Below are 11,628 nucleotides of genomic sequence, written 5' to 3' on the forward strand. Positions count from 1 at the left end.
TAAAAATGTCACCTTTGCTTCACTGCCCCCTTCTTTGATTTTTTATTTAGAAAAAACATGTAAATACCGTGCCTCATGTAACCCACTCTGGGACACATTCTCAGTTTGCACTGTTTGTGTTCCAGGCTACGGTTCTCAACTTGGTTTGGGACAAAATTAATTTTGATTTCTTTAAGTCCATAGTGCCTATTATTTTAACCTTTTGGCTTGACACACTGGGGAAACATGGGCCCACTATGACTACTTTGTCTCTCCTGACCTGGAAAATTAGTATCAGTGCAGACTGCCTGAGACCTTCGCTAGACCCAGATTCCCCACCGCCAGCAATCTCCCCAGTTTCTCAGTAGAAGCTATGAGAAGAGTGCAGCTGGTGAAACCACCTTTACAAAAATTATAACAGTGAAAGAAGTCTGATGTAACCAACTCCATCTTTTTTTTTTTTTTTTTCCGAGACGGAGTCTTGCTCTGTTGCCCAGGCTGGAGTGCAGTGGCGCAACCTCGGCTCGCTGCAACCTCCGCCTCCCGGGTTCAAGCGATTCTCCTGCCTCAGCCTCCCGAGTATCTAGGATTACAGGCGTGCACCACTACGCTCGGCTAATTTTTGTATTTTTTAATAGAGATGGGTGTTCACCATGTTGGCCAGGCTGGTCTCCACCTATTGACCTCAAGTGATCTGCCCGCCTTGGCCTCCCAAAGTGCTGGGATTACAGGCGTGAGCCACCGCACCCGGCTACCAACTCGATCTTGCTTCTAACCTCCAAGCTTCCTTTGCTCATTTCTGGGCGTATGCCAAGCAAACCACGGGAGGAATTTAGTTTGTAGTTTAACTTTCAGACAAACATGACAACAGCCCCTTCATGAAGCAAACCCCCTCCTTGCTTGGGGGTCAGACCTCCTTTGTAAAAGCAACAACTTAGCCCACAGTATTAGAAATTATGGCTCAGGAGTCATATAGCCAGAGGCCACAAGATCCTAACCTCCTCAATTGCTCCTATAGATAACATTATTATTGTAAAAATCTAAGATTGCTGTTCTAGGTATTTTTCAGACTCTGCATTCTGAATGGATCAGCTGGCGTCACCGAGATCGATAAACTGGCCCCCTCTCAGGAACTGACTCAGTGAAAGAAGGCAAGCTCCGACTCCCTGTGATTTTATCTCTGACCTAACTAATCAGCATTCCCCTGCCTGCCCAAATGTTGCGGGACTTTTCTTTAGTTCAGCTCAAGACAGAGTTCTTTGTCCCACGGCCACGAAAATTCAGGCTCGCAGACAATTGGAATGGTGAGTAAGACAGGGTTTTATTGGGTGAAAAAGGAAGAAAAGGGGGACTCTGCTAGGCCAGAGTCCCTGCTAGAGCACTTGCCGCCCAGGCTTTCAAATCCCAGGCTCCTCCCAGGAAGAGATGGGGCCAGGCTCCTCCTCGCTGCGAATGGCACTAACTTCCCGAGGTTCCACCCCAGTGCGCATTCGTCCCAGTGCGCAGGCTGGTCGGGGAGTCTGCGGGGACCCCCTTCCACCTGGCTGTCTCACAACTATCCTTGAAAAACCCTAGCCTCGACCGGACGCGGTGGCTCACGCCTGTAATCCCAGCACTTTGGGAGGCAGAGGCAGGCGGATCACGAGGTCAGGAGTTCGAGACCATCCTGGCTAAAACAGTGAAACCCCGTCTCTACTAAAAATACAAAAAATGTGCCGGGCGTGGTGGCAGGGATCTGTAGTCCCAGCTACTCGGGAGGCTGAGGCAGGAGAATGGCATGAGCCCGGGAGGCGGAGCTTGCAGTGAGCCGAGATCGCGCCACTGCACTCCAGCCTGGGTGACAGAGCGAGACTCCGTCTCAAAAAAAGAAAAACCCTAGCCTCTGAATTTTCGGGGAGGCTGATAGGAGTAATAACAAAGCTCCAGTCTTCCATTCTTCCATTTAGTTGGCTCTGCATTTACTAAACTCTTCATTGCAATAACACTGTCTCAGTAAATCAGCTTTTCTGGGCAGGGGCAAGATGAACCCATTAGGCAATTATGCTGGTGCTGGGAGCAGCATCTCTGTCCCATCTTTTCTATAAGCTCTGTCACAAAGAAGCTAATACTTTTAGAATATGTACCTCAAGTTAGCCTCTGAGGGTTGAAAATGAATGATTTTTAAGCCAAACTAATTTTAAGCACCCACAACCGACTGAATGGACTCCTGGGATTAAAGGTGTGAGCCACCACGCCCAGCCTCACCTGGATAATTTTTTTAAAAACATTTTTTGTAGAAATGGAGCTTTGCTATGTTGGCCAGGCTTGGCATAATTATTTTATAAATTGTATATACATATGTATAATTGTGTGTACTAGTAATAGTGAAAATTGACATTTTAAAAAGCAGTACAATTTACAACAGAGTAATTAAATATAAAATACTTAGGAATAAAATATGTCCAAGACTTGTACACTGAAAAAAATGCTAAGAGAAATGAAAGGAAACCTAAATACATCAAGAGACATTTCATATTTGTGCATGAACAGACTCAATATTGTTAAGATATTTGTTATCCCTAAATTTATTTATAGATTTAATCTAATTACAATAAAAATCCCAACAGGGTTTTTTTTTTTTTAAAGAAATTGACATGCTAATTCCAAAATTCATTTGCAAATTCAAAGACAGCATGCCCAAAACATCTTTGGAAAAAGCAAAGTTGGAAGACTCACTCTGCCCGACTTATTTATATTTTATTGTATTTATTATAAAACTGCTATAATTAAGACAGTGTCATACTGGCATTAAGAAATTTAAAACAACAGAACAATAGATCAGGAGTACGGAGATAAAACCACATACATATTGTTAATTGACTGTTGCCAAAGCTTCAAGGGCAATTCAGTGGAGAAAGGTAGTTTTCTCAGCAAACTTTAGAAAAATCACAACAACAAATTTTTTTTTTTTGAGACGGAGTCTCACTCTGTTGCCCAGGCTAAAGTGCAGTGGTGTAATCTTGGTTCACTGCAACTTCCCCCTCCTGGGTTCAAGCGATTCTCCTGCCTCAGCCTCCCAAGTAGCTGGGACTACTGTTGCGTGCCACCATGCCCGGCTAATTAAGAAAAGATTCTTGATCCCTACATTGCTCTACATATAAAAATGAACCTCAAGTAGATCACAGACCTACCAATAAAACCCACAACTTTAAAATTTTTATAATAAAATCTTTGTCAACTTGTGCTGGGGAAAGTTTTCTTAGATACAACACTGAAAGTATGACTCACAAAAGAAAAACACAATTAAATGAACTTCATTAAAATTAAGAAACCTCTGCCTTGGTAAAGACACTGTAAGAGACAAGCTACACACTGGGAGATAGTCATCTCCAGAGATGGCTTGGCCTCCTAGGGGACTTTTGGCAGTGGCTAGAGACAATTTTGATGTCACAGCTGGGTAGGGAGGGCATATTACTACTGACATGTAGTGAGGAAAGGCCAGGGGTTCCGCTAAGCATCCTGCAATACCCAGGACAGCCCTCTACAGCAGGGATGACTACAGTAAAGAGCCACATGGATAAACTTATCACTTGCCTACTTAAGGCACCGGCCAGTCAGATTCCATCACCACCTGCTAACATGAGCTGTCGCCTCCTTCCCAAAGCCTTGAGGTAGGGACAATGCCTGGATTCAAACTTGGATGTGATAGACCCCAAATCCTGCCCAGTGCTCCTCCTGGGTACCAAAGGTATCACATGGGGCAGGAAGGGCACTGCACTCAAAGGCTAGAAAGTAAGGTTGCTCCTTAAAGAGCTCAAATTCTGACTTCAAACTCATATTTGGACTTTTTGTGGTCTAGGTGGCAGCGAGGGTGGTCTTCTGTGGTTGGCTCAAGCCTGAGCATTGAATCTTCTGAAATATCACCTCCCTGAGCTGGTGACTAGTTGCCTCCCTTGGTGATTTGTGTCCTGCTTAACCCATCTTTTTTACTGTCCTAGTGACAGACCTAGAGGGACAGACACTGAAGGAAAAATGGTGGGTGAGGGAAGGGGTTGTAGCAGGAGATCACCAGTAGGTAAAGAAACCAGAGACAACATCCTGTAGGAAACGCAGGGTGTTCCCAGAGGCAGTCAGCAGCAGGGACGTAGGGATATTTTACATTCTGTGTGCAACTGCTCAGATTTCTTCTGGTTAACACTTAGGAGCAAATGAAACAAAGGCTCACCTCACTCCCTGCTCCCCTCTATTCTCTACCCTACCTTATCCTTCCCTTTCACAGAACACATACTGCACCTTCAAAATTATTTCAAGATTCCAGCTCAAATGTCATTTATTTGGCAAGGTCTTACCAGCTCCCTTTCAAACAGAAGCTGGGAGTACATCTCTTAGTGGTCTGGGTGTTCAATTGAATTAAGAGCTCCCTGCAGGTAGGCTGTGAGTCATTCATTCAGTGCCTCCATTCCCCCAGCCCAGTGCTAGGCAGTGAGAAAAATCACATGTTGGGTTTGACATTAGGTCAATCCCCTAGTGAAGACACACTGAATAATTATTACTGATGTAGGAACAAAAGACCCTTGCAGCAGTGGGATTTAAACCCACGTCCCCAAAGAGACTGGAGCCTAAATTCAGTGCCTTAGACCATTCAACCACACTACCAAACTGCTAAGACTAATTGGCGGCACCACCAAACCATCTTGTCCTTTTCCAGTGATGTCTTCTGGAAAGGATGATATAACTAGAAAGAGCAGGTTCCTATTCCAGCCGTCACCGCTCTTTCATTTTGTGCTTTGGCATTCTCCCCCTTAAGCTTTCTCTGGAGTACTGTTTTCTCTGCTTCTCAGTCCGTGTGGTGGACTATGATTGATGTTATAGCTCCCACAACTGCCATTTCCTTTCTAGTATTGGCAGGCTAATTAATTTAGACCAATCCTTCTTGAAATAAAAATTATTAAAAATATTGCATAAGATTTTTACCAAATCTCAGCTGGGTGCAGTAGCTCACGCCTGTTATCCCAGCACGTTGGGAAGCCGAGGCAGGAGGACTACTTGAGTCCAGTTCAAGACTAGCCTGGGCGGCATGGTGAAATCCCATCTCTAAACAGAAATAAATAAAATAAATAAATAGTTTTTTTGTTGTTGTTTTTTTTTTGAGACGGAGTCTCGCTCTGTCGCCCAGGCTGGAGTGCAGTGGCGCAATCTCGGCTCACTGCAAGCTCCGCCTCCCGGGTTCACGCCATTCTCCTGCCTCAGCCTCCCGAGTAGCTGGGACTACACGCCCCCGCCACCACGCCTGGCTAAGTTTTTGTATTTTTTAGTAGAGACGGGGTTTCACCGTGTTAGCCAGGATCGTCTGGATCTTCGGACCTCTTGATCCGCCCGCCTCGGCCTCCCAAAGTGATAAATAAATACTTTTATCAAATCTCCTTAGAAGCATTAAAGTGCTGATATGGTAGTAAGCAACTAATAGGCCAGAAACCAAGGGAAAGGTGGAATTCAGAGAGTTAAGGTAAGTTATCTCTGCATTGACCTTTGTAGCCCTAAAGGCATTTGTGATAGGCCAGGCGCGGTGGCTCACTCCTGTAATCCCAGAACTTTGGGAGGTCCAGGCGGGTTGGATCACGTGAGGTCAGGAGTTTGAGACCAGCCTGGCCAACATGGTGAAACCCCGTCTCTACTAAAAATACAAAAATCAGCCGGGTGTAGTGGCACGCACTTGTAATCCCAGCTACTCGGGAGGCTGAGGCAGGAGAATTGCTTGAATCTGGGAGGTGGAGGTTGCAGTGAGCTGAGATTGCACCACTGCACTTCAGCCTGGGCAACAGAGTGAGACTGTATCTCAAAAAAAAAAAAAAAAAAGTCATTTGTTAATTCCTGAAATGCTGGGCTATATAATTTTGGTAGCCTGTTTGGGTGGGAGAAACAAGAGGATCAGACATCAAGACACAGCACCCACCAGAGGTAGGAAGACTAGTAAGACACCCTCCCAATATTAAGTTGGGACTCCAAAGATCTATTCCCCTAAGGTAAGGGCAAATAAGAAGTACACCTATGTCTGTTCTCCTACTTCTAGTAATTGTTGTGGAGCTCAGCAGAAAAAAATTGAGCTTAGCAAAGGAAAATAGAAAGTGTGAGGAGTTTTTCTGAGAAGCTGGGACCACAGGTCAGCATTCTGATTTGCACCTTGGGTTTACGTATCTTGGAGATCCAGAGAATGCCTGGCCATTAACTTTGTTTAGGATCTTCTTGGGCTGATAGAGTGCCAAGTGCCTGGGAGAAAAAAAAGTCATATATATATTTTTAAAAGAAGATAACCTTCATCTTGTCCTCAAAAACTCACTGCATGTAATTTTGCAAAGACACTGAGCAGTACACATTCAAAGATGACCAAGTTTTACAAGAAAACAAAACAACATGAGTTGACAAAACAACGGCATAAAATTCAGATATTAGGATTATCAGTTATATATATTAAAACAACTGTAATTACTGTGCTTAAGGAAATAAGAAACAAGCTGGAAAATATCTGCAAAAAACAGGAAATAAAAAAATTCGGCCTAGTAGTTTTGAAAAACAATCAACTAGAACTTCTAGAATGGGAAATTACATTTTAACCAAAATAAATGACTTAATGGGCATATCTAACAGCTGATTAAACAGAGCTATAGAGAGAATTACTGATTAGTATTAAAGGTAAGAAAATGTTATCCAGAATGCAACATAGAAAAAAAGACCAAATATATATATATGTATATATATGTGTGTATATATATGTATATATGTGTGTATATATGTATATATATGTGTATATATGTGTGTATATATATGTATATATATGTGTATATATATGTATATGTATATGGAAGAGAGGTTAAAATAAATGGAAAACAAGGTAGGAAGCTCTAATAGATGTTTAATTTCAGTTCCAAAAAGAGAGAAAAAAATAGAGTAAAAACAATATAGGAGGCTGGCTGGTCTGAGTGCAGTGGTGTTTACAACTAATTGATCACAAGCAGTTACAGGTCTCTTTGTTCCTTCTCCACTCCCACTGCTTCACTTGACTAGCCTAAAAAAAAAAATTAAAAAAATATATAAAAAAATAGGAGAAGATAATGGCTACTATTAGTTAAAATGTATCTCCCCCAAATTTATATGTTGAAGCCCTAATCCCTAGTATCCCAGAATGTAACTGTATTTGGAGATAGGGCGTTTAAAGAGATGATTAAGTTAAAATGAGGCCATTAAGGTGGGCCCTAATCCAACCTGGTGTCCCTGTAAGGGGAGTAAATTTAGACACAAAGAGAGGAGCTAAGGGTGTGGACCCACAGAAGGACAGCTATGTGAGGCGGCAGCAAGAGGCCAGCCATCTCTAAGTGAAGGAGAGAGGCCTCAGAAGGAACCAAACCTGCCAACACCTTGGTCTTGGATTTTTGACCTCCAGGACTGTGAGAAAATGAATTTCAGTTGTTTAAGTCACCCAGTCTGTGGTATTTTATTATGGAAGCCCTAGCAAACTAACACAATGACTGAGAGTTTTCCAGAACTAAAGAAAGACAGCAGTATATGGATTTAAGAAAACCCATACCCAAAAACTTGACACTGATACCATATTTGGAAAAACATGGGTTTTCCTTATGGTATCCTGTACTCCTGTTTTATGTTTCTAAATGGAAAGCTTCCTGGGCGATGCATCTGATTGGTGGAGCCCAGGTCACATGCCCATTCTCAGCTGTAAGCTGGGAAAGCAAGTGTTCTAGGACAGACTTACTTATAATATGTGAAATATCCACATGTAAGGAGAATTTTTAAAAGATGTTGGACACACACTAACATAACATATGCCTATAACAGGGCTATTCAAAACTTATGTTCTAGTCTCAGCTGTTTTCTCTGTATTCTTTTCCTTCAAGAGTGCATAACTCGTAGAGTCTCTAACTCAATGGATGACTTATGTAATTTGATTAATTCATTTATCAATTCATGAAACTCTAGACACGAGACTATTCTGGCTATCATGCAATTCCCATGAACTGCTCCACCTTCACTTCATATTCAGCTTACCTAAATCCTAGCGTCACCCCTCCGCCCTCTCCAGATACGCTGAAGAAGTAGGCTTCCTTTTTTCTGCAGGTGTTATCTTGCCTCTTCAAGACACCTTTGAGAGTCCCCTCTCTTTCCTCTTGATTTCACTTCATACCTAGGTTCAGCAGAATCGCCCTGCCCTGTAACGCTCTCACTCATCCCTTCCTTTCCAGTCCCATAACGATTACCTTTTTGCAGCTTTATGTTTGAGCATCTTCACCATGGCCAGTCACTGGTGTTTCTGACTCTGGTTGCTCGTCCCTTCAATTAATTCCGCAAACTCATCAATGTTTGGTGAATTTCTATTTTCTTCTACTAATCTTCTCACCTGCTGCCCCAGCCAGTGTTCCCTTGAATGTCTCAGTCTTTCTCTCGGACTTTGCTCGTAATTTTATTCTACCAGGGACCACCCTGCTCCCATTTTTGTCTAAGTCTTAACCTCCCTTCATAGTGCAGCTCAGGCCAATGCCCTCTTGAAGACACCCCCGGATGGTTCACTTTGTAAATGTGTGGACCTTGGCATGGCCAACGCCCCTTCACACCTGGCACAGCTACTTTTCATTGTTTTCCTTCATGAAAACTAAAGTTCTTTTGTTCCACAAAACTGTGACAGTGACTTCAGGATAAAGATCATATCTGGATCCCTAATTCTTAGTGCAGAGCCTAGTACAGAACTGGAATGCAGTGTTTGTTGAATGAAGGAATGAATTAAACTGCAAATTAACGAATGCCTGCTCTGGCACTGAGACTCGCAGCTGTGAGAAAGGTCTCTGGAGGCAGACAGTTGCTGGTACGAAGTCCTGAGTCAAGCAGGAAACAAAATGCGGATGTCAGCAGTTTCAAGTGAGACCTGTGGTGAGCTCCTTCCTCTGCCGGTTTTCCCTTCTTAATTTTCAGTCTGAAGTGAGGGAGTGGAGAATCTTTCTGTGTTAGACTGTGTCGCGTTGGGCAGATTTCTCCAATCTTAGGATAGTAGTGGTCCCTCTCACTGGCCTTCACTTTGTACCATCCCCAGCAAGAACACTGAGTCTGTGAACCGAATTCTAGTAGTCGGGAAATGGATTGAAAGGACATCCAGGTTTTACTTAGTTTCTATGCTCAGATGCTGGCAGAAGCCCTGCAAATCTTTTCCTTTTCTGTGAAAGGAAGAGGCGGTTTCTGCGTGAGGCCCTATAGCTCAGGGGTTAGAGCACTGGTCTTGTAAACCAGGGGTCGCGAGTTCAAATCTCGCTGGGGCCTTGCGAAACTACTTTCTTGATTCAGGTGTTTTTTGAAAAACTCCCCTTCTAGTCTTTCTGAACTAAGTCACAGAAAATGTGGCAAATTAGAGCTTCTTTCCTCTGTTCAGAGCTTCCAAACACTAGCTCAGCAGAACGTTTCCTTTAGGTTCCAGTAGTAATGCTGCTTTAGCTCCTGGAATGCGGCGGAATCCATTACACAGGCGGTGGAAATCACCGTCAGCCTCTGCCCACGCCCTGGCTTGCGGACTGGCGGCGAGAGCCCTGCTGACTGCCGGGCGGGAAATGGGGACAGCTAGGCGAGACAATAGCCCTTTAAGCTATTCTCAAGCCCCGGGTCTGGGCATATTTGGAGTAGAGATCAAGGTTCCACTTCTGAAACGGGAAGAGCCAGCAATGGCCGCTCCGGCCAGGCGTCCAGAAGAGAGATGCACGTTGTGAGGCAAGGTTTCATGTGCCAGTGGGGTTTTGGGAAATTAAGGGCCCGACTTTAGGGGCGAGACTTGGGTCACTAAATTTGATTTTAACGCAGAGAAATGTGGCCTTCCTTTTGAATGAGCTGCAAATATTATCTCCAAAAGCGAATTCACACAGAAACATTGGGTTTGCCCAGATGTCCTCTATTTCAGGGGTTCCCAACCCTTGGGCCGCGCACCTGTCCATGGCCTGTTAGGGACCCGGCTGTACAGCAGGAGGTGAACTCCGGGCTAGCTACCAGTACCGCCTGAGCTCCGCCTCCTGTGAGATCAGTGGTGGCATTAGAATCTCACAGGAGCGCGAACCCTATTGGGAACTGCGCATGCCAGGGATCTAAACTGCACTCCTTATGAGAATCTAAGTGATGCCTGATGATCTGAGGTGGAACAGTTTCATCCCGAAACCATCCCCCAACTCTTCCCCCCGCCCCCGCGGTCCGTGGAAAAACTGTCTTCCACGAAACCGGTCCCTAGTGCCAAAAATGTTGGGGACCACTGCTCCATTCCACACCCTCTCCCTCCCGTGTCTGTGGACGTGTAAGCGGAAGAGCCGAGATTGGGAGGGAAGCGCAGGAAGTGAGGACATCAGGGAGCCCGGGCCTAAGCCTGGAGGCCCGCCCTCTCCGGCGTTCACAGTTGCGCAGTCAGAATTGTGTGCGTCCCACCGCCTCAGCCCCCAGTTCTCCGACGCCCAGGTGCCGGTCCCCACCCTACACACAAACACACGCATCCACGCTCGCGAGGCCCCTGGGTCCGCGCCCAGTGAGGCCAACAGCCCTCGGGCGCCCAGAGGATGAGCAGCCTCGGTATGCCCGAGTTTCAGGGGCGCCTGCTCTGCTTGGGAGCCCCTCAGTGAGGCAGGGGAATCCAGATTTAGAAAGGTTGTCCTCAGAACCTCGGACGCAGGACTGTCTTACAAGCTGGCTTTGTGACTCTGCAGTAATTACTTTCCGGGTATAAAGAGATTTCTTTCTTTCCCGTCTCTGGTTAAGGATGTCTCGAGTAGGGATTTTTAGGAGAGTTGTTTCCGTGCTTCCTTCGATAGCTCAGCTGGTAGAGCGGAGGACTGTAGTACTTAATGTGTGGTCATCCTTAGGTCGCTGGTTCGATTCCGGCTCGAAGGAGACGCTGCTGTTTTGGGGTTTACGGTTGCTCTTCGTTTGTGCAAAAAATCTCTGTATCTTGACGTGATCAAATCTGTTTCTGTCTCTCACCCTTGTCCGAAGGAAACAGCTTAGCCGCGAGGTGGGCTGCGTTAATCGCGTCTTGAAAAGTTGGTTACCTTTCTGAAAGATAGTAGACCCGAATCGTCCCACCGTTGGGGGAAGGCACTGTTGTCTTACCGAAGTGTGTTATATTTTGGCTTCTACGTTAAGTCCAAAGGCCGGCAGATATATACGTATCGCGCGTCTGTCCTGGGGCTCAGTACCCTACAGCCTTGCAACCGAGCTCAGCTCTGGCCCTCGATCTCTATTTCAGCCCCCTCCAGGTTCCCTCCAGGCCCTAGCGGGCTTAAATCGCTCCCCGGGCTCAGTGAGACACAAGCATGTGACCTAAAGTCTAAAAAGCTGCCTTCCTTCACCCCATCCTGCATCTGGATCGAGGAGAATAAGCCAGAGAATAAGCCACACTTGAAACTTGGTGAAGATGGAAGGAATAACTAAATAAGGCCTAAGGGAAATGTCACAACAGAGGAAAAGAAACAAAACAAAAAACCTTCAGAACAGCAGGCGGAAAAGAGAAATTCAGAGTGATAGGAAGCACCACTCAGCTACAGTGGCTCGTTGGTCTAGGGGTATGATTCTCGCTTTGGGTGCGAGAGGTCCCGGGTTCAAATCCCGGACGAGCCCTCGTGGCTACTGTTTTTCCACCCCCTT

The 11,628-nt window shown here is 45.3% G+C and overlaps 3 non-coding genes and 1 pseudogene across 3 annotated transcripts, besides 6 other annotated features; 3 read left to right on the forward strand and 1 right to left on the reverse strand.

Moving 5' to 3' along the window:
* Positions 4,533–4,614, reverse strand: TRL-TAG4-1 (tRNA-Leu (anticodon TAG) 4-1; annotated as a pseudogene).
* Positions 8,776–9,035: an enhancer, noted in NCBI's record as "active region_8088". NCBI's record gives its function as "activates an Ori minimal core promoter by ATAC-STARR-seq in GM12878 lymphoblastoid cells {active_cell/tissue: GM12878}" and the evidence as "EXISTENCE:reporter gene assay evidence [ECO:0000049][PMID:35858748]".
* On the forward strand, positions 9,204–9,276 carry TRT-TGT5-1 (tRNA-Thr (anticodon TGT) 5-1). The gene has a single exon. It is a non-coding gene; the product is annotated as a tRNA-Thr (tRNA).
* Positions 9,686–9,735: an enhancer, noted in NCBI's record as "active region_8089". NCBI's record gives its function as "activates an Ori minimal core promoter by ATAC-STARR-seq in GM12878 lymphoblastoid cells {active_cell/tissue: GM12878}" and the evidence as "EXISTENCE:reporter gene assay evidence [ECO:0000049][PMID:35858748]".
* Positions 10,456–10,765: an enhancer, noted in NCBI's record as "active region_8090". NCBI's record gives its function as "activates an Ori minimal core promoter by ATAC-STARR-seq in GM12878 lymphoblastoid cells {active_cell/tissue: GM12878}" and the evidence as "EXISTENCE:reporter gene assay evidence [ECO:0000049][PMID:35858748]".
* Positions 10,787–10,875, forward strand: TRY-GTA5-5 (tRNA-Tyr (anticodon GTA) 5-5). Its single transcript is given in 2 exon segments — positions 10,787–10,823; positions 10,840–10,875. It is a non-coding gene; the product is annotated as a tRNA-Tyr (tRNA).
* Positions 10,966–11,155: an enhancer, noted in NCBI's record as "active region_8091". NCBI's record gives its function as "activates an Ori minimal core promoter by ATAC-STARR-seq in GM12878 lymphoblastoid cells {active_cell/tissue: GM12878}" and the evidence as "EXISTENCE:reporter gene assay evidence [ECO:0000049][PMID:35858748]".
* Positions 11,296–11,425: an enhancer, noted in NCBI's record as "active region_8092". NCBI's record gives its function as "activates an Ori minimal core promoter by ATAC-STARR-seq in GM12878 lymphoblastoid cells {active_cell/tissue: GM12878}" and the evidence as "EXISTENCE:reporter gene assay evidence [ECO:0000049][PMID:35858748]".
* On the forward strand, positions 11,530–11,601 carry TRP-TGG3-2 (tRNA-Pro (anticodon TGG) 3-2). The gene has a single exon. It is a non-coding gene; the product is annotated as a tRNA-Pro (tRNA).
* Positions 11,556–11,605: a silencer, noted in NCBI's record as "silent region_5573". NCBI's record gives its function as "represses an Ori minimal core promoter by ATAC-STARR-seq in GM12878 lymphoblastoid cells {active_cell/tissue: GM12878}" and the evidence as "EXISTENCE:reporter gene assay evidence [ECO:0000049][PMID:35858748]".

The sequence above is a fragment of the Homo sapiens genome, chromosome 14, assembly GCF_000001405.40.
Source record: "Homo sapiens chromosome 14, GRCh38.p14 Primary Assembly".
In the NCBI taxonomy this organism is placed as follows: domain Eukaryota; kingdom Metazoa; phylum Chordata; class Mammalia; order Primates; family Hominidae; genus Homo; species Homo sapiens.